The sequence below is a fragment of the Homo sapiens genome, chromosome 7 (assembly GCF_000001405.40).
Source record: "Homo sapiens chromosome 7, GRCh38.p14 Primary Assembly".
Lineage (NCBI taxonomy): Eukaryota > Metazoa > Chordata > Mammalia > Primates > Hominidae > Homo > Homo sapiens.
Window position 1 is genome coordinate 73,869,971 of NC_000007.14, and position 21,656 is coordinate 73,891,626.

Here is a 21,656-nt window from a genome sequence, read left to right on the forward strand (position 1 = left end):
GATGGGGGCTCACTTCTGTCCTGCCTTCCTGCTCCCCGGTCTGCACACTGGGTTCAGCACTGAGCCAGCGTCTCTCTCCAGGCCCCAGCTCTTGGGCTCAGGCCCCAGGTGGGGCTGCCAGAGCTGAGAGGCGCGGCCCCTTCCCCAGAGCGCTCGCCTGACATAACCTATTAGCGCTTCTCGCTTCAATCCAGCTCCCCCAGCCAGCCTCCCCACCCAGGCCAGACTGTGCCGGTCCTGTTGTCTCTCTCCTGAGCTGCTTTGCCCCGACAGGGTGAGAAGGAGCTGGCAAGATGCCCGATGGCCCCAAGAGTAGCTGTGCCTGTTCGCCCCTCCCCTGCTAGGCTGCCCTATGGTCAGGTGGACTTGATCATTGACCTTGACCAGTGGCCGCTGTGGCCACGATGACTTCCTGTCTCAGAGTCCAGAGCTGGGGCCGCTGGACAGTCGTGGGACTGAAACTTAGAGGACAAGGGGCTTTCCTGAAGTCCTGCCCTGTGCCTCGGTCCTTGCCTTCTCAGCTGCACTTCTTTTTTTGTTTTGTTTTGGAGACAGTCTTGCTCTGTCCCCCAGGCTGGAGTGCAGGGGCACGATCTCAGCTCACTGCAACCTCCACCTCCTGGGTCCAAGCAATTCTCCTGCCTCAGCCTCTTGAGTAGCTAGGATTACAGGTGCCCCGCCACCATGCCCGGCTAATTTTTGTATTTTTAGTAGAGACGGGGTTTCGCCATGTTGGCCAGGCTGGTCTCGGACTCCTGACCTCAGGTGACCCGCCCATCTCAGCCTCCCAAACTGCTGGGATTACAGGCATGAGCCACCGCGCCCGGACTCTCGGCTGCACTTCTAGGGGCTGATGGAGGGTGCTGGGGAGAGGCAGCTGACCTTGGGCAGCTGTTGGTATTGAGAAGGGGGCTGCTGGGAGACTTGGGGTTATTATCTAGGATGGAGGCCCTCTGGGTGGCAGGAGGGGGAGGCTGCAGGGTCTCAGGACCATGCTGGGGGCTAATGCAGGGGTCTCTGGGCTTCCCCAGCTGCCCCCCATATCTGTGCTAGATGGGTGAGGATGGCCGGGCACCTGGGAAGCCGTCGTGTCTGGGATCCCTCGGGAGGCTTTCTCCAGCCCCCTCCATCCAGCGCTTGCTTAGCAGTGGTAGTGCCTTCTCTTCTTTCACCCCTCTTCGCCTTTGACCCACCTTGGCTTGGGGTTGGGGGCTTGAGATCCCAAAAGTGCCTGGGATTGGGGGGTTAGCGGTCAGCCCCAAGTCCTCCACCTAGCAGGGCTCTTGCACTTCCTGGGTTGAGCAGGAGGAGGCTGAGGGGTGGGGCCCCCAGGGAAGGCTGGATTCTTTGAGATCCACCTGGGGCAGGACTGTGTCCCCTGATAATTCTCCTCCACAGTGAATGCAGCACCTCCTCCCACTGGTTGGCCAGGGCTGTCCAGATTACTTAATTGTGTGTGTCTGAGAGTGTCTGTGTGGGTTAGGGAGAGGAAGGCATTTCCCCAAGCCCCTCACCTGCAGCGGCCTGTGGCTGGAGGGACCCCAGACTCTCTACTCCTGTTGGGGGTCCTGCCTGTCCCTGGCTTGTGTGGCACTGGGCAGGTCCCTGGGCTCTGTCCCTGTTCCCGCCATGAGGGTGCCTGTGGGCTCTGCTAACTTCTGAGCCTGAGTGAACCTTGACCCCCTCTTGGACCAGGGCCCCGCAGGCGTGGATTGAGGCGCTGGAGAAGGCATGATCTGGAAGGCCCTGGGCCTGGGTGCTGCAGCTGGGCCCTACGGCTTCGCCTGCATATAGTGCACGCATCTGGATCTGTGTCCCGCCCCTCACCCCAGGCTCACATCTGGAGACCAAAACCAGCTAGCCGGCTAAACACAGAGCATCTGGGCCCCAAAGAGCCTGTTCCCAGGTTAACGTGGCCCATCTGGGCCCCTCGCGGCAGCTCCGCCCCGTCTCCACGGCAGAATGCTGGCTGCACATCTGGACAGCTGGAGCCCTGTGGTCACCCCGCCTCTCCCCGTGCCTAGCTGGGTCTGGAGTCGGTGCTGCCTGGGTTCCCTGTCCTGAGGCAGGGTCCTGTGTGCAGAGGGCTCATGGGGCTTCTCCTGGGTGCTGCCTGGGGAATAGATTAGTTTAGACATAATCTGGAAACAAGTCCCTTGCCAGGGGTGGTGACAGCAGCCACTCTGCACCAACACACCCGGCAGCCCCTTGGTAGCGCTTGAAAAAGCCTCTGAGGCCCCCTGGATCGCCTGGCTGCCCACGTCCTCCTGGGATGCCTCGGGCACAGCAGGGGGTGCCACCAACTGTTGGGGGGTGGGGCGCTGCACTGGGGTCCCCATCACGAAACTCACTTCACACAACCAGCCCTGCTGTCCCTTCCCAGGAATCCTCTCTTCTCCCTCCTTCCCTGCCAACACCCGTGCTTGGCACGGTAGAGGCTGGATGTCTCCCCAGGGGCCCCAGACTCAGAGAAGAAAGCCTGAGGACGAGGTCAGCCAAGGGCATCTGGAAGAAATGACCATCTCAGGCACAAAAGGCTGCCTGGGCAAAGACACTCCATGGGAACTGCCTGGTGGTGGCCTGGACAGGTTCCTTTTCGGTGGGGTTGTAGGCCCCTCTGACTTCACTAGGGACATGTGATCCTAATGAGCTAAAAGCACGTGGGAATCTTAAGTCACAATTGTGGTAGTGAGCTCCCCGTCATGGAGGGATCCAAGCTGGTGGGACTGCTCTCTGTCAGGAACATGGCAATGGTAGAAGTTATTCCTTCTTTCCTTCCTTCCTTCCTTCCTTTCTTTCTTTCTCTCTCTCTTTTTCTCTTTCTCTTTCTTTCTTTCTTTCTCTCTCTCTTTCTTTCTCTTTCTTTCTTTCCTTCACCTGTCTGCCTGCCTGCCTGCCTTCCTTCCTTCTTCTTTCCTTCCTTCCTTCCTCCCTCCTTTCTCTCTCTCTCTCTTTCTCCTTCCTTCCTTCCTTCCTTCCCTCCCTCCCTCCCTCCCTCCCTCCCTCCCTCCCTCCCTCCCTCCCTCCTTTCTTTCTTTCTTTCTTTCTTTCTTTCTTTCTTTCTTTCTTTCTTTCTTTCTTTCTCTCTTTCTTTCTTTCTTTCTTTCTTTCTTTTCTTAGATGGAGTCTCACTCTTGTCGCCCAGGCTGGAGTGCAATGGCGTGATCTCAGCTCACTGCAGCCTCTGCCTCCCAGGTTCAACCAATTCTACTGCCTCAGCCTCCAGAGTAGCTGGGATTACAGGCACGCACCACCACACCCGGCTAATTTTTTGTATTTTTAGTAGAGGTGGGGTTTCACCATGTTGGCCAGGCTGATCTCAAACTCCTGACCTCAGGTGATCTGCCTGCCTCGACCTCCCAAAGTGCTGGGATTACAGGCATGAGCCACCGAACCCAGCCGGCAGAGGTTATTCTTGCAAGGAGTCTGAGGCTGTGTGAGGCAACCTCCTAGCACTATGCTAAAGCCTTGTAACTCCAAGATTCAAGGATTCTGCGATGCTGCCTTCCCAGATTCTCAGTCTTCTAGGATAGGGGATGTGAATAGCCTTGGGGTGGAGGCCGGAGATTTGGCGTGCAGGGTTGGGGTGAGTGGGGGGTGAGGAGGGAAGCAGGGGATGGCCACAGCCCGTGGCCTGGAACTGGGGACCTTGCTGCCTGCCTGCCCGGAACAGTCTTAGCTCTGGTGCTGGCCCAGCCTCCGAGGCCTGGGTTGTGTTTGCAGAGCCTGGCGATCCTGCATCCTGTGGTCAAGCTTTATCGAAGCATCATTGGCCCAGATTGAAAGAAGTGCTTTATTGTAGCCTGCAGCCCGGAGGCCTGGAGCAACAGGCAATTCAAACCACAGAGCCCCATGCCTTCTCCCGCACCTCCTTACCCAAGGAAAATTTGAGTCAGCAAACATGCAGGATGAAGACACAAATAAAAAATAACGAGGGCTAGCATTTATTAAATATTCGCTATGGGCCAGATACTGTTCTGAGGGCTTTGCTTGTATTAACTCATTCCAGTCTCCCTGGGAGGGAGGCACTGTTGTTACCATTTAACCCATTTTACAGATGGGGAACCTGAGGCTTAAGTTCTGCTTGGTTATTGGGTAGCAGAGCTGGGATGCAAACCGGGAAGACTGGCTCCAAAGTCTGTGTCTCCCTCCCCCTTTTTTTAGACAAGGTCTCTGTTGCCCAGGCTAGAGTGCAGTGGCATGATCATAGCTCACTGCAGCCTCAAACTCCTGGGCTCAAGCAATCCTCCTGCCTCAGCTTCCTGAGTAGCTGGGACTACAGGTGTAAGCTACCACACCTGGCTAATATATATATTATATATATATATATATAAAATACATATTTATATTTTTTAGAGTTGGAGTCTCATGGCTGGGTGTGGTGGCTTATGCCTGTAATCCTAGCACTTTGGGAGGCTGAGGCGGGCAGATTGCTTGAGCTCAGGAGTTCAAGACCAGCCTGGGCAACATGGTGCAACTCCTAAAGATACAAAAGTTAGCTGGGCATGGTGGCATGCACCTGTAGTGACAGCTACTGAGGAGGCTTAGGCAGGAGAATCACTTGAACCTGGGAGGCAAAGGTTGCAGTGAGCCAAGATCACACCTCTGCACTCCAGCCTGGGTGACAGAGTGAGACTCCATCTCAAAAAAAAAAAAAAGAGATGGGGTATCACTATGTTGCCCAGGCTGGTCTCAAATTCCTGGAGTTAAGCGATCCTCCTGCCTTGGCTTCCCAAAGTGCTGGGATTGCAGGTATGAGCCACCATGCCTGGCCAAATCTGTGTCCTTGGCCAGGATGGACCACTGCTACATCCGGCCTCTCTGCAAGCTGGGGTGGGGTTGGGGAGACAGAAAGAGCAGAGAGAGGTAGACAGAGCCAGACAGTGAGAGGGATGGCGCTAAGGCCCTCAGAGGTGATGTCCCTGGGCTGTGCCCAGGAGGAGAAGCAGAATTGGCTGAGTTACCAGGATCATCTGTCCTATCTCCCCCAGGTCGTCAGACGAGGTGTCCAGGTGTGGAAGGGCAGTGTCCCACCTTGTCAAGCCTTCCAAAGTCAAACAAAGATGGGCTTTGCATGATCTGATTCCGGTGGCCAGGGAGCTGGGTTCCCCTGGCTCTTCTTTTTTTTTTTTTTGAGAGGGAATCTCGCTCTGTCGCCCAGGCTGGACTGCAGTGGCGCGATCTCAGCTCACTGCAAGCTCTGCCTCCTGGGTTCACGCCATTCTCCTGCCTCAGCCTCCCGAGTAGCTGGGACTACAGGCGCCCGCCACCATGCCCAGCTAATTTTTTTTTTTTTTGTATTTTTAGTAGAGATGGGGTTTCACCATGTTAGCCAGGATGGTCTCGATCTCCTGACCTCGTGATCCACCTGCCTCGGCCTCCCAAAGTGCTGGGATTACAGGCGTGAGCCACCGTGCCCGGCCTCCCCTGGCTCTTTTAAAGGGTGGGAATTTGGGGCTGCGGAGGGCCAAGAGGTCAACCTTGGAGGACCCACCCACTGTGGCCTAGTCTCCTGGGGGAGCACCTGACCCTGAGGTGAGGGTGCTGCCTGGGATTCAAACCAGAGGGTCTGACTTCAAAGCCTGTGTACCTCCACACTTTTTTTTTTTTTTTTTGAGATGGAATTTCACTCCTGTTGCCCAGGCTGGAGTGAAGTGGTGTGATCTCGGCTTACTGCAGCCTCTGCCTCCTGGGTTCCAGCAATTCTTCTGCCTCAGCCTCCGGAGTAGCTGGGATTACAGGCACGTGCCACCATGCCTGGCTGATTTTTGAATTTTTAGTAGAGACGGGGTTTCACCATGTTGCTCAGGTTGGTCTCGAACTCCTGACCTCAGGTGATCCACCTGCCTCAGCTTCCCAAAGTGTTGGGATTACAGGCGCAAGCCACTGTGCCCGGCCCACGCCTTTTTTTTTTTCTTTTCTGAGACGGTCTTGCTCTGTTGCCCAGGCTGGAGTGCAGTGGCACAATCATAGCTCACTGCAGCCTCAGACTCCTAGGCTCAAGCGATTCTCCCACCTAAGCCTCCCAAGTAGCTGGGACTACAGGTGCACATCACCATGACCAGCTAATTTTTTAATTTTTATAGAGATTGGGTCTTGCTATGTTGCCCAGGGCTAGTCTCAAACCCCTGGGCTCAAGTGATCCTCTCATCTCAGTCTCCTGAGTACCTGGGGGTGAAGGTATGTGCCACTTCGCCTGGCTAATTGTTTTTATGATCACCAGGGCTTCCAAGGCTGGGGCTGGGGGTCTCCCCTTGGGTGTGTGAGGGGGGCTTCCCTCTGTGTCTGCAGCTGTCTGACCTGCTAGAGGACCTACAGAGACAGAATGAGCAGAAAGCACCCTGGGGCCGTTGGCATCATCCTTGGACCATCCTGATGGACCTTCCCATCTCATCCCATCCGCAGGTATGCTCTAGCAACTTCTCTTGTCACCCAGAGTCCCCACCCCTCTCTAGGAAGCATGAGAGGTGCTCTTCACCGGGCCCTTCCTTCGTGCCAGGCACACAGAGAGGACTTCTCCGTGATGTGATATCCCACATACTCCCCACAACACCTTTGGCTGGAAGGTCCCAGTGTCATCCCCATTTTACGGATGAGGAAACTAAGGCTCGGAGAGGCAAAGTCATGTATCTACATAGCTGAGAAGCGGCAGAGCTGGGACTTCAGTGCAGGTGACTTCATCACCTCAGGGCTGTGTTGAGGTTGGCAAAGGGATGTCCCATTAGAGGGGATGGGAAGGGCTGCTGGGAGAGGACCCCAGGAGACATTGGAGTCTTTATCGGACATGGGGACAGGATCTCTGGTTTTGCAAACTATGCACTGATCCTCTAGTTTCCATGGTGGGGCGGCCACACGGCTGCAGGTGCATTTGGTGACGGGCCCCCTAGCCCATCCCAGCCATATGTGTGCCAATCTCCCGAGCCTTTAGTTTAGCCAAGGTTGGCATTTCCCAGGGGGAGTTTCAGCTGGGGACCAAGCAGAGCCGCCTGCCCTCCGATTCCATTGGTGTGTCTCTGTGGAGCTGCCTCATCGAGCCCCTAATTCGCACCTCGGCCAAGAGGGCCGAGAAGAAACTTCCCGCATTCCCCAAACTCCGGGTGTGGGACCAGGCTTCCCAGAGCCTTGGCGTGATGTCCCTGTGCCCCAGTTGGGCTCAGCCTGGCCTGTGGGGGCTGGCCCAGGGCCGAGGGCAGTGGAGAGGGCCAGCGGTACTGGGAGAACAATGGAGTGGAGGGAACAGAAACTCTCTGGGTAGCAAGAGCAGGGAAGGAGGCCAGGCCAGCAGGGGTTTCCAGACAGGCTGGGTCCTGGGGTCCCTGGGGCAGGGGGCAGAGGCAGGGAGAAAGGGGTCGCCCCGGCCATGCTTCCTGTGTGCTTTTGAGGTGCTCTGGCCCGGCCCTGCATGGGGAGACTGAGGCAGGAAGGACTAACATGGGCCCTGTCTTGAGGTCCTAGGGGCCTGGCTCTCCCTGGGGAGCTGTGGCCTGAAGGGGACAGAGGAGGAAGTTTCTTTCTTTTTCTTTTCTCTCTTTTTTTTGAGACAGAGTCTTGCTCTGTCGCTCAGGCTGGAGTTCAGTGGCACGATCTTGGCTCACTGCAACCTCCACCTCCCAGGTTTAAGTGATTGTCATGCCTCAGCTCCCCGAGTAGCTGGGATTACAGGCATGCACCACCACACTCAGCTAATTTTTGTATTTTTATTAGAGATGGGGTTTCACCAGGTTGGCCAGGCTGGTCTCGAACTCCTGACCTCAGGGGATCTGCCCACCTCGGCCTCCCAAATTGCTGGGATTACAGGTGTGAGCCACCGTGCCCGACCTCTTTCTTTTTCTTTTTTTTGAAACAGGGTCTTATTCTGTCACCCAGGCTGGAGTGCAATGGCATGATCATAGTTCACTGCAGCTTCCAACTCCCGGGCTCTAGTGATCCTCCGGCCTCAGCCTCCTGAGTAGCTAGTACTACAGGTACATACCGCCACGTCCAGCTAATTTTTTTTTTTTTTTTGTAGAGATGTAGTCTTGCTATGTTGCCCAGGCTGGTCTTGAACTCTTGGCCTCAAGCGATCCTCCCACCTTGGCCTCCCAAAGTGCTGTGATTCTGGTAAGGCTAAGATTAACTTGACTTTACACTGTTGAACTTGGTATTAGGAGGAAGCTGCTGGTTCAGCCCCTGGGCAGGGAATTGTGATGGGTTCAGCGCCCCTGCCTGGGGCTGGACAGAAGGCTCTGATTTTACCCCCAGCCACTCTGGCTACCCCTACAGTCTCTCAAGGTGGCCCTTCCTGGTCCCTCGCCCCACCCCAAGGGCCTGAGTACAGATGGGCACCCCGGGTCAGTCTGAGTCACCCTTCATGTCCCTTGCTATGGTCCTAAAGCACATGTCCAGCAGTGTTTAAGAGCCACCTGCCCTGTGTCCACCCCTGGTCCCCAGGACCGGGTCTCTCTGGACCTCGGTGCTCTGGTCGGTCACCCGGGTCCTGCCTGAGTCCCGCGAGATGGGAGACTAGTTCTCAAAGCGGCCTTGAACACCTGTGTCCCTGCAGCCTCGTTCCCTTGGGGATTGTCACACATGATCCCAACAGACAAGATGGCAAGACCCAGCATTGTTCTAGGTACCCCGGATGGGCCGAGTTTCTGGACGTGACTTTTTTTCTTCTTCTTCTTTCTTTCTATCTTTTTTTTTGAGACGGAGTCTCGCTCTGTCACCCAGGCTGGAGTGCAGTGGCGCGATCTTGGCTCACTGCCAGCTCCACCTCCCGGGTTCACGCCATTCTCCTGCCTCAGCCTCCCGAGTAGCTGGGACTACAGGCGCCTGCCACCACGCCCGGCTAATTTTTTGTATTTTTAGTAGAGATGGGGTTTCACCATGTTAGCCAGGATGGTCTCTATCTCCTGAACTTGGGATCTGCCCACTTCAGCCTCCCAAAGTGCTGGGATTACAGGCGTGAGCCACCCCACCCGGCCTTTTTTTTTTTTTTTTTTTTAAGATGGAGTCTCGCTCTTGTTGCCCAGGCTGGAGTGCAATGGCGTGATCTCGGCTCACTGCAGCCTCCGCCTCCCTGATTCAAGCAATTCTACTGCCTCAGCCTCCAGAGTAGCTGGGATTGCAGGTGCCGCCACCATGCCCGCCTAATTTTTCATATTTTTGGTAGAGACGGTTTTGCCATGTTGGCCAAGCTGGCCTCGAAATCCTGGCCTCAGGGGATCTGCCCACCTTGGCCTCCCAAAATGCTGGGATTACAGGCGTGAGCCACTGTGCCCAGCCTGGATGATGTGACTTTCGACTGTCAAATCAATGGCCCTGTTACCCCAAGCTCGCTCCCCGTCCCAGCAGCCCCTGGCCTCACAGCATGTGCATCTCTTTCCCTCTGGGAGCTGCCGCCCTGTGGGTCCTGCTGCCACCAGCCTGCAAGGGCACGATTAGGGTCACCTCCCCTCATCCCAACCCAGGGAGGTGGCTACCACCATTCACATATGGGGAAGGAGGGAAGGAGATGATGTATGACAGAAGCTCAGGGAGGTGGGGCCTGTCCACCTTCCGGGTGTGCCCTGGGGTGGGGGTTTCAGGCAGCCCTGCCTTCCTTTCCTTCCTGGGCTCAGCTGAGAGGGACTGGGGCAAAGGGCTTTTGTCATTTTCTCAACCCACAAACACTTCCGGATGCCTCCTCCATGCTGTTAACAGACTCCAGTGCCTGGGATCACTCACACCCTGCCTCTGCCTCAGTTTCCCCCTCTGAAGGGTGGAGCTGGCTTTGAGAGGGTGATAGACCTTTCAGCTTTTGCTTGAGTGAAGCCCACCTCTTGCCCCAGTGCCCATGACCCACCCACATCCCCAAAGCTGCAGGGCTTCCCGAGCTGGTCTTGGTCCCAAGCCGTGACCATGTCACTCTTACCCCGCCTGGGGCCAGCAAGCCCAGCTCTGGCCCCTCCCTGACGCCCCAAGGAGACTTGTGACAAACAGTAAGAGAGGGTCTCCTGGCTTCACCCTCTCTTCCAGAGGGAGCAAATTCTCCCAGACAAACCCAGCCCATCAACAAACCAGCGACCAAAACAAAGAGGCAGATTACGAAACCCAGATCGAGGGAAAGAGGCCACTCCGAGCTTTTCTCCAGGACAGGGGTTGGCGAAATTGGGCCAGGCCTGTGGGTCACAGCCTGCCTGGCCTGGACTATTTTTGTACCGTCTGGGGGGTGGGGGCTGATGAAATCCCAGCTGCATTTCACCAAAACACTTTCCCCTTAAGCCCGGGCTCCATGTGGTTCAAATTCATTGTCACTTAACTCATCACTCAAGGCTCTGAGCCGCATCCCTCCCCCTCCAAGAAAAAGACGAAAACACACAGTCTCTGGCATGCGGGCGAGGTGGGCGTGAGGGGCCATGACAAACAGACTGACTGTCTTGACCTTAGCCGCCCCTGGCCTCCTGCTCTCCATCTTCCTGGCCCCTTCCACCCCGTGCTTGATGTCCCCAAAGGCTAAGACAGGATGAGTTGCTGTCCAAGCTCCACTAGGGTTGAGTTGGGAGCCTGGACAGGGGAGGCAGTCACTGGATCACTGGTTCTCCCTCCCCTCCACAGCCCGCTGCTGGAAATGGGAAGCTGACATGTCCCAAAGGTCGATGCACTGGAATGCCCGGAGGTCATCCTCTGGGAGTGTCCACATATTTGTGAATGTGTTTGTGCCCATGAGCCAGGAGAAGCCGATCTTCTCTTGCCCCGTGTTGCTTTTCTCAATGTTGGCTCACAGCTGATGTTCATCACCTCAGGGCTGTGTTGAGGTTGGCAAAGGGACTTCCCATCGGAGAGGAAGGGAAGGGCTGCCGGGAGGGGACCCTGGAGGGCATTGGAGTCTTTATCGAATATGAGGACAGGACGTCCGGTTTTGAAACTATGCACTGATCCTATAGTTTCCATGGTAGGGCGGCCAGATGGCTGCAGGTGCATTTAGTGACAGGCCCCCTAACCTGTCCCAGCTATGTGTGTGCCAATCTCCTGAGCCTTTAGTTTAGCCAAGGTTGGCATTTCCCAGGGGGAACTTCAGCTGGGGACCAAGCAGAGCCGCCTGCCCTCCGATTCCATTTGTGTGTCTCTCTCCCCCATTAGACCGTGGGTCTCTCCGGGGCAGCGTTTAGCTGATCCACACTGGATCTCCAGTGCCCAACGCTAGGCTTGGCACAGAACCCAAGCGCAGCAAATGCTTGTGGAATGAATTAATACATTTTTCAAATCAAGTCAAAGTGCTGTTTTCATTATCTTTAGACCAGATTAAATTCAGAGCCACAGCTCTCCAGAAAAATACTGGCAATCTGGCTTTTGCATATTTCACTGTCAAGGAGAGAACTCCTTTTCTGAATTAGCCAGGAAGGCAAGCCCGGGTCCCTAGAGAGAGGCGACCCCTGAGCTCTCCCCTCTTGCCCACCTTGGGACACCTGTGACCCCTTTGGCTCTGATAACCCCTTGCTGGGCTGCCCCTCCAGCTTTGATCCCTGGTTTGCAGACCGAGGGAGCAAAAGGGTGGAGCTCTAGGAGTTTACTTTCCTGGGCAGGGTCAAGCAGTTCCTGATGCAGCAAAGTTGTTTGGGCGCAAACATTTCCCTGTATTGTCTGGCTTCAGAAGGCAGCCAAGAGTCTACGCAGGTGGGAGGGAGCTGAGGCAGGAGTTTTTTCTCTCTCCTCCACTCCAAAGAAGACAGGAGCCTCCAAGCCCCAAGGTGGGGGGTTAGGAGGTCATCTCACACCCTAGGCAGATGCAGAAGACCTAGGAGAGGACAGAATCAGGGGAGGGGGGTGGGGGACAGATGTCATATGTCCTACTGTGCAGAGTTGGGGAGTCAGGTGTAGACAGACATGAGCTGGTCTGAGAATTCAAGTCCAACCAGAGGACCAGGCTGTACCTTCCCCAGGGCATGCTGGGAGATGCCTCTCATTCCCTTGCTGGCTGGGCGCACCAGCCTACCTGAGGCTGTCTCTTAGACAGCTAAGGAATCTTTCCCCTCCTCTGAGGTTTCTGCTCAATGACACCTTTTCTGGGGACAGTGGCTCTGGAGATGGGGGATCCTGGAGGTTGAGAGAGGCTGAGCCTTCGTGGATCTCCAGTATCCCCTGCCTTCTATGCCTCTTTAGCAAGATGCTTCTCCAACTCCTGTTTTTCCTTCTCGGAACTCTGGAAGGATGCCCTCTGCATTTTGGATGTGTTTCCCAAGTGATGCTCCATTGACTATTACTTTGGGAGGGGGAAAAGCTTCTGGATCCAAGAAGCCTAGGAAACACAAAGTCAGACAGGCTATTATCTTGCAGGACTTATCAGAGCCTTGAATTTTTTTAATTTTTAATTTTTATTTATTTTTTAGAGACAGGGTCTTACTCTGTCACCCAGGCTGGACTGAATGGTGGAATTATAACTCACTGCAGCCTGGAATTCCTGGGCTCAAGCGATCCTCCTGTCTCAGCCTTCAGAGTAGCTGGGACTACAGGTGCATGCCACCAGGCCTGGCTATCTTGAATTGTTCATAGGGGCTTTAAAATACAAAAATAAGCTGGGCATGGTGGTGGGTGTCTGTAATCCCAGCTACCCAGCAGGCTAAGAGAAAATTGCTTGAACCCGGGAGGCGGAGGTTGCAGTGAGCTGAGATCATGCCACTGCATTCCAGCTTGGGTGACAGAGACTCTGTCTCTAAATAAATAAATAAATACACACAGACATACATAAAATAGGAGCTTTGACCTTCTAAGAAGGGACCCTGGTGCACAGTGTTTCCTGGACCCATGTGACACCAAAGTCATTTCTCCCCATGGGCTCTTTTTCAGGACATCTTCTGGGCCACACAGGTCGAGAGGATATCTCGGGAGTTACTGGACCTGAAATGTCAAATAACCCTGCAGAGGTGACAGCTGTGAGTGAAGATGCTTCTCTTTTTATGTTGAGTGAAACCCCTTTCAATATGGGCTGGAGCTGGCCACATGAGGTTTCCTGGTGTCGTGCAAGCGTGGAGATCCGGCCACACTCTTTCGTCTTCTCTTCCTTGGCCCTGAAGGGAGATGAGCCGGCAGGTGGACAAAATAAGGGGGTTGAGGCTGGATGCGGTGGCTCAAGCCCATAATCCCAGCACTTTGGGAGGCCAAGGTTGGCAGATCACTTGAGGCCAAGAGTTCGAGATCAGCCTGGCCAACATGGAGAAACCCCGTCTCTACCAAAAATACAAAAATTAGCCAGGTGGTGGGCACCTGTAATCCCAGCTACTCCAGAGGCTGAGGCAGGAGAATCGCTTGAACCTGGGAGGTGGAGATTGCAGTGAGCCAAGATCGCACCACTGCACTCCAGCCTGGGCGACAAAGCAAGACTCCGTCTCAAAGAAAAACAAAAACAAAACCAAACAAAAACCAAGGAGGTTAAGACAGACTATGTGCATCTCCCTAATCTGTCCCGGAGACAGAAGCCACAATTAAGTCACCTGTGGCCAAGACTGGGCAAGACCCAGGCAGCTGGGAAAGCCAAGAGGACTTTAGGCATCACGTTGCTCTGAAGTTCTGGAAAGGGCAATGCCAGCTTCAGGAGGGATCTGATTCAAAGGCCAGATTCAAGCCAGGTGCCGTGGCTCACGCCTGTAATCCCAGCACTTTGGGAGGCTGAGACTGGTGGATCATGATGTCAAGAAATCGAGACCATCCTGGCCAACATGGTGAAACCCTGTCTCTACTAAAAATACAAAAATTAGCCAAGCATGGTGGCGTGCGCCTGTAGTCCCAGCTACTCAGGAGGCTGAGGCAGGAGAATCGCTTGAACCTGGGAGGTGGAGGTTGCAGTGAGCCAAGATCACACCACTGCACTCCAGCCTGGGCAACAGAGTGAGACTCTATCTCAAAAAAAAAAAAAAAAAAAAAAAAAAGGCCAGATTCAGGGATGAGTTCACAAGATTCAGACCATGCTGGGTTCTCACCCTGCAGCTTCTGGTCCCCTCCTTGCAGCAGAAGTCCCGGGACGCCACTGCTGGGCTCAGCTCTGTCCCAGCCCCTGAGGTTCAGCCTGATCTTAGTTAGGAGATTTCCGAAGGAGCCAAATTCAATGTTCAGGGGCCTGGCATCCGAGCTTGGGTCCCTTTTTTTTTTTTTTTTTTTAAGATGGAGTCTCTCTCTGTCGCCCAGGCTGGAGTGCAGTGGTGTGATCTCGGCTCACTGCAAGCTCCACCTCCTGAGTTCACGCCATTCTCCTGCCTCAGTCTCCCAAGTAGCTGGGACTACAGGTGCCCGTCACCACGGCTGGCTAATTTTTTGTATTTTTAGTTGAGACAGGGTTTCACCGTGTTAGCCAGGATGGTCTCAATCTCCTGACCTCACGATCCACCCACCTCCCAAAGTGCTGGGATTACAGGCGTGAGCCACCACGCACAGCCTGTTTGTTTTTGAGATGGAGTCTCGCTCTGTTGCCCAGGCTGAGAGTGCATTGGCGCGATCTGGGCTCACTGCAACTTCTACCTCCTGGGTTCAAACAGTTCTTTTGCCCAGCCTCCCGAGTAGCTGGGGTTACAGGCATGTGCCACCACACCCGGCTAATTTTTGTATTTTTAGTAGAGACGGGGTTTCACCATGTCGGCCAGGTTGGTTTCAAATTCCTGGGCTCACCTCGGCCTCCCGAAGTGCTGGGATTACGGGATTACAGGATTATAGGCATAAGCCCCCAGTCCCAGACTCTTGTCACTACCTCCTATTGGCCTGGTAGACCACCTCCTCCCATCAGCTTTCACTGGGCCTCTTTGAGTCTGGCTGTACCCCAGGCCCTACCTGCTGGATGGGCTCTTGGCAGGTGAAGTTGCTGAGACCTGCTCCGTCTCTGAGGGAGTCAGCTGTCAGTCTTTCTCTATTCCACTCTGCAGCTCTCAACTATCCACAGGGCTTGGACACCAGATGGTCAAGAAGAAACCATTCTACTGAAGTCTGGGGATAAGACTGGGCTTTCTTAAAACTCATTTACTTACTTGTTCATTCATTCAGTTCATTCTTTCTCTCTCTCTCTCCTTTCTTTCTTTCCTTTCTTTCTTTCTTTCTTTCTTTTTCTTTCTTTCTTTCTCTCTCTCTCTCCTTCCTTCCTTCCTTCCTTCCTCTCTCTCCTTTCCTCTTTCTTTTCTTTTCCTTTCTTTTTCTTTTCTCAGTCTCACTCTGTCACCTAGGCTGGAGTGCAGTGGCTTAATCTTAGCTCACTGCAACCTCCGCCTCCTGGGCTCAAAAGATTCTCCTGTTTCAGCCTTCTGAGTAGCTGGGACTACAGGCAAATGCCACCATGCCTGGCTAATTTTTGTATTTTTAGTAGAGACGGGTTTTCCCCATGTTGCTCAGGCTGGTCTTGAACTCTTGGCCTCAAGTGATCCACCCACATCGGCCTCCCAAAGTTCTGGGATTATAGGCATGAGTCACCATGCCTGGGCTCTTTTTTATTTTTTCTTTTCATTTTTTATAAAAATAGAGACAGGGTCTCACTCTGTCACCCAGGCTGGAGTGCAGTGGTGCAATGATAGCTCACTGCAACCTCTGCCTTCCAGGCTCAAGTAATCCTCCCACCTCAGCTTCCTAAGTGGCTGAGAGAACAGGTATGTACCACCACGCCCGGCTAATTTTTAAATTTTTTTGTGGAGATGGGGTCTCACTATGTTGCCCAGGCTGATCTTGAACTCCCAGCCTCAGGTGATCCTCTGGCCTCAGCCTCCTGAAGTGTTAGGATTACAGGCGTGAGCCCCCATGCCTGGCCTGTTATTATTTCTATGGACATGTGTTAAGCTCTAAGTCAGTAGTTCTCAAACCTGAATGTGTGTGAGAATCCCCTAGAAGTCTTGTTAAAACAGACCACTGAGGCTGGGCATGGTGGCTCACATCTGCAATCCCAGCACTTTGGGAGGCTGAGATGGGAGGATGGCTTGAGGCCAGGAGTTTTAGACCAGTCTGGGCAACATAGAGAGACCCTGTCTCTACAAACTATTAAAAAAATTAGCCAAGTATGGTGCATGCCTGTAGTCCCAGCTGCTCAGGAGGCTGAGGTAGGAGGATCGCTTGAGCCCAGGAGTTTGAGGCTGTGGTAAGCTATGATTGCACCACTGCACTCCAGCCTGGGTGACAGCGCAAGACCCAGTCTCCAAAACAAAAACTACAAAAACATAAAACAGACCACCGGGTGTCATTTCCAGAGTTTCTGATCCAGTAGGTCTGGGCTGGGACTGATAATTTGCTTTTCTAACAAGTTTCCAGGTGATATGGAGCTACTGGTCGGGGGCCACACTTGAGAGCTGATCTCAGTCATTATCAGCTATTAACACCCGTGTGTGGATTAGCTTATCAGACCATGGAAACCAAAGACTTCCTCCCACAAGGGAGGTCTGGACAGAGTAAGGCTTGTGGAAGGACCAGGGCCTTGGGGGTGAGAGAGGAAACATTGCCAAGAGGCAGACAGAGGCCCAGAGGGCTGTCTGGCGGCACAGAGGACAGGCTTTGTCTTTTTCCTAGGCTGGGCAGGACCCCAGAGGTTAGGCTCTGGGACAGGAGGGAGGCGGGCAGGCCTGGGGAAGTCTGGGCAGCCCGTGCTGAACAGAGGCTGGGATCGGGCGGTGGGCCCGGTGCACCTGACCCGCGGGGCTGGGAACAATGGCTGGGCCGGCGTGGCCTGGCTTGCTGCCCCTGTTCATCTCTGTTTTCCTTCCCAGCTCCGATCTTCGCCGGCTCTCCTCACTCGCTCCCTCTCCGGCGGCCCATCCTGTCCGCTGGCCCCCAGACAGCACATTCCTTCATGCTGATCTCTTCCCGGTGGCTGTGAGTGCACGTTCTCACAGCGAGGCAGGGACTGGGGCCATGAGGAAGGGGGGCTCAGGTGGCCTTCCTGGGGGCCCTGGCCCCACATCCGGAGACCAGAGGGCACCTGGATGGGAAGGAGGAATAACCCCTCAGGCTCGGAGTCCTCCAGGACTCAGCTAGCCCTGAGGATTTGGATCATTTCCCCCCCAGTCCTTCATCTCTTGATATTAGGAGGTTGGGGGGTCCTGCACTGCTAAGCCTCCTAGCCCTGTGCCCTGGTGTGGTGACCGAATTGGCTGTATCCTCTGCAGAGCATGGCCCCTGTCCAGTAGACTCAGGACATTTTCTGCTTCTCATGGGGGCAGTGGCCCAATGCCAGGCTTTCCTTGGTCCCATCTGGGCCAGGACCTTCCCCTGGTTTCATCTCCCTTCCTTGAAAGACCCATCTGCAGCAGCGTGGAAGGATCCAGGCCCCCTCTGCCAGCCTTTCATTCACCCACGCAGAGGCAGGCAGGCTGTGCAGCCCCCACCCCACAATTTGATAAGCCTGAGCCAGGGAGGGCAGGGCTGGCCAGTGTGACAGCTCATGAGTGGCCGGTATCCTCTCTTCCTCTCCGGTACCTGGTGGCCCCAGTCCTGCTGCCCTGCCTGGCAGCAGAGGGGATGGGCTGGTGTCTGCTGTCCTGAGAGCCTTTCCTGGGCTGTCTGTACTGGGTCAAGGCTCTGCCTTGGGGTCAGGTTTAGTTTGAGGTCACGGTGAGGATCAGGGCTTGGCACTGGAGTCAGAGCTCAGCCTATGGCGGGCTCAGGAACCAGCCTGTTTCCAGGTTGGAGCTCAGTCTGAGTGGAGAGTTGGGGTTTGGTTTGGTGTGGAGCTCAAGGCTCTGTCTGGGGCAGGGATTGGGTTTGGTCAAGGGTTGGGATGAAGGCTAGTTTGGAGCCAGGGTCAGGGCTCAGTCTGGGGTAGGGGTCAGGACTTGATCTAAGATTGGAGTCAGGTCAGGGCTCAGCCTGGAGCCAGGGCTGGACTTCAGTGTGGGACAGGTGATGGGTTCTGAGAGGAGTTGGAGTTGGGATTCAGTCCAGGGTAGAGGTTAGCCTTGAGTCTGGGGTCAGGGTCAGGTTTATTCTGGGGTCACAGGGGCCACGGCTGGTGCTCTGTCTGGGGTTGCAGATGAGCTTGGCTGGCTTGGGTGTTGGTATCACTCTGGGTTTGAGTTCAAGGCTCAGATGGTGTCAGACTAGGACATCAATGTGTATTGGGACAGGCTGCTTGTGTGGAGCTGACAGGGGCAGGTGTGTGTTGAAGGTGATCTTTGTCCCTCCTGTATTTGCACCCCCAGCCCCCAGCCCCTACAACCGGCTGGGACTGGGCTTGGTGGGTGGACAGACGGCTTCAGTCGCGTTCTCTCTCCAGCAAAATGTGCCTTCATGCCTGTGCAGGGCCTGAGGACACAGGGTGTGCCAGAGAGCACCTGGGCCCTCTCTGGGCCTCAGTTTCCCTATCTGAGAAGCTCAGTGTCTGGGAGCTGGGCTGAACTCCCGAAACCTGGACTGGCAGCCGTGTCAAGAGGATTGGAATGTGGAGGGCTGCTGGGTGGGGTGGGGGGCACTGCAGGAGCTCTGGCCTGGAGCGAGGTGGCTGGACTGGGCAGGGGGAGGGAGGGGCAGGCAGGTGGACAGTTCTTGGGAACCCTAAGATGAAGGTCTTCGCCGAAGAGACTCAGTCTCAAATAAATAAATACATAAATAAATAAATAAAATTACAAAAATTAGCCAGGCGTGGTGGCGCAAGCCTGTAGTCCCAGCTGCTCGGGAGGCTGAGGCAGGAGAATCACTTGAACTTGGGAGGTGGAGGTTGCAGTGAGCTGAGATCACACCACTGCACTCCAGCCTGGGAGACTGAGTGAGAACCTGTCTCAAAAAAGAAAAAAAGAAAATCTCTGAATCCATGTATGACCTGGAACCTCCCCCAAAACCTTCCTTCAAGTTGTCCCACCTTTCCAGACAGAACCAATGTACACATCAGTCGATGTTTCCCTATAACTTATGTCCCAGTAAAGTGTATAAAATCAAGCTGTAACCCATCCACTTTGGGTACATGTTCTCAGAACCTCCTGGGATTGTGTCATGGGCCTTGGTCACTCATATTTGGCTCTACTGTCCCTTAGTGGCAGATAGTGCCACCTCTACCTCAAAATGAGGTAGGAGATGGGACTTGATTCCAGAGGCGGGGCTTAGACACCAGACCAAATTGAGGACTAGCTAAAGCATGTCGGAGGCAGAACCTCTCCGTAAGACACGCCCACCCATGTGCCATGTCAGTTCACCATTGCCATGGCAACATCTGAAATTTACCACCCCTTTCCATGGCAATGACCCAGCAACCTGGAAGTTACCACCCACATCCTAGAAAAGTCTTCGTGAGCCACCCCTTAATTTGCATATAATTGAAAGTGGGTATAAAAAAATATGAGTGCAGGCCTGCCTCTGGACACACTGCTTATAGGATAACCCTGCTCTGCAAGGAGCTGCAGCTGTGCTGTCGCTGTTCACTGCTGCTTCAATAGAAGGTGCTGTTTAACACCACCACCTCCACCCTTGAATTCCTTTCTTTTTTTTTTTTTTTTGAGACGGAGTCTCACTCTGTCGCCCAGGCTGGAGTACAGTGGCGCGATCTCAGCTCACTGCAACCTCTGCCTCCTAGGTGCAAGTGATTCTCCTGCCTCAGCCTCCCGAGTAGGTGGGATTACAGGGATGCACCACCATGCCTGGCTAATTTTTGTATTTTTACTAGAGACAGGGTTTTGGCATGTTGACCAGGTTGGTCTCAAACTCCTGACCTCAAGTAATCCACCTGCTTCAGCCTCCCAAAGTGCTGGGATTACAGGTGTGAGCCACTGTGCCCAGCCTTTTTTTTTTTTTTTTTTTTTTTTTTTTTAGATAGAGTCTTGCTCTGTCACCCAGGCTGGAGTGCAGTGGTGCCATCTCAGCTCACTGCAACCTCCACCTCCTGGTTTCAAGTGATTCTCCTGCCTCACCCTCCCGAGTAGCTGGGATTACAGGCCATCCACCACCACATCTGGCTGATTTTTGTATTTTTAGTAGAGATGGGGTTTCACCATGTTGGCCAGGCTGGTCTCAAACTCCTGACCTCAAGTGATCTGCCCGCCTCAGCCTCCCAAAGTGCTGGGATTACAGGTGTGAGCCACCGCGCCCGGCCCACCCTTGAATTCTTTCCTGGGTGAAGCCAAGAGTGCTCCCGGGCTAAGCCCCAATTCTAGGACTTGCTTGCCCTGCATCAAAATGGCTTCCTTGGCACGGAGCCTCCCAGACTACACGGGGTGTGGCTTTCATGTCAGGGCACAGGAGTCACGATGGTGTGCAGGATTCTAGGTGACCCCAGCTCCTGTCCTGTAACTGACACCTGCCCTGCTGTTGAGCAGGGTCCCTGAACCACCCTGACAAGGGCTCCATCCATGGGCAGGGAGGTTGGAAGAATGGGAGCGGCACTTGGCTTTCGGTCCTCTTCTCGTTCTCTTAGCTCAGCCCCCTAAACTGGCCTCCTCCTGTCAAAGCCGCAGACACACAAGAGAAACCCCGATTGACGTCAGGGGAAGCGCCCACAGGGACTCTGTCTCTCCCAGAAATTTGGCTCCAGCGCCTGGCTTCGAATGGCTGTGGTTTTTAAAAGGTGAAAATGGCCAGTGGCCCTGCTTCTGTGTCTCCACCAAAACCTGGCTTGGAGGAAAGCAGGCTGGGGTCCTTGATCCTGGAGTTGGATGGGGGAGTCCCCTCCCTTCTCTCCTTCTCCCACTTCCTTGCAGACCCCCTCCTCCAGTGCCCTCCCTGCTGTCTTGACCCCCTGGCGCTCCCAGCATCCTCCTTCCTCCCGTCTCCTCTCCACCGACAAAGGCCGAGATCTTCCAGGTCCTTCCCAGTCCTGGCGCTCACTGCCTGGTGTCCTTGGGTTTGCAGGGCCTACGGATCTCTGGGCACTGTCCCCTCCGTGAACTCTCAAGGCCCTGTCTTTCTCCTCTTTGTGGCCCCCACATTTGGCCCAGAGCCTGACACAGAGTAAACGCTCAGTGAGCCTTTACTGGGTCCAGATGGAGGAATTCCTTCTTGAATTTGTCTTTGCTCATGGTCTACCCTACTTCAACGTTGACGTTTGATCCATTAATTTCTTTTATTTATTTATTTATTTATTTATTTATTTATTTATTTATTTTTGAGGTGGAGTCTCGCTCTGTTGCCCAGCCTGGAGTGCAGTGGCACGATCTTGGCTCACTGCAAACTCCACCCCTGAGGTTCAAGCGATCCTCCTGCCTCAGCTTCCCTAGTAGCTGGGATTACAGGCGTGCACCATCATGCCCGGCTACTTTTTGAATTTTTAATAGAGACGGGACTTCACCATGTTGGCCAGGCTGGTCTCGAACTCCTGACATCAGGTGATCTGCCTGCCTCGGCCTCCCAAAGTGCTGGGATTACAAGCATGAGCCACCAGGCCCGGCCAGAACCATTGATTTCTGGAAACCATTCTGTGCCACAAGCCTTGGCCACTGGGAGGAGCCAGGAGAGTCAAACAACGTAGCTCCTTGGAAGAGGCTGCCTGTCAGTCATGCCCTTGGTCAGCCTGACCTGGTCCAGCCGGAGGGTGGACTCTTCGTGCTGAGGGCTGGGATGGCCAGGCACATGCCGGGGTCAGCACACAGTCACTGGGCTCATCCTGCCTTCAGATGCCTAACCTGGGGATCAGAGCCCTTCTTTTGCCCCCCAGGGGACTCCCAGTCTGGGATGGACGGGAGAGAAGGACTCCACTTCTGCCTCCTGTCAGGAGCCTACTCAGCTTCTGCTGAAACCTCCTGGCTGCTGCTGGTGTCGGA

The 21,656-nt window shown here is 54.6% G+C and overlaps 2 annotated features.

The window, feature by feature from the left end:
* Positions 1 to 930: an enhancer, noted in NCBI's record as "H3K4me1 hESC enhancer chr7:73284301-73285230 (GRCh37/hg19 assembly coordinates)". NCBI's record gives its function as "activates a minimal SCP1, AML or CMV promoter by ChIP-STARR-seq in naive H9 embryonic stem cells {active_cell/tissue: H9 hESC(naive)}" and the evidence as "EXISTENCE:reporter gene assay evidence [ECO:0000049][PMID:30033119]".
* Positions 1,403 to 1,958: an enhancer, noted in NCBI's record as "H3K4me1 hESC enhancer chr7:73285703-73286258 (GRCh37/hg19 assembly coordinates)". NCBI's record gives its function as "activates a minimal SCP1, AML or CMV promoter by ChIP-STARR-seq in primed H9 embryonic stem cells {active_cell/tissue: H9 hESC(primed)}" and the evidence as "EXISTENCE:reporter gene assay evidence [ECO:0000049][PMID:30033119]".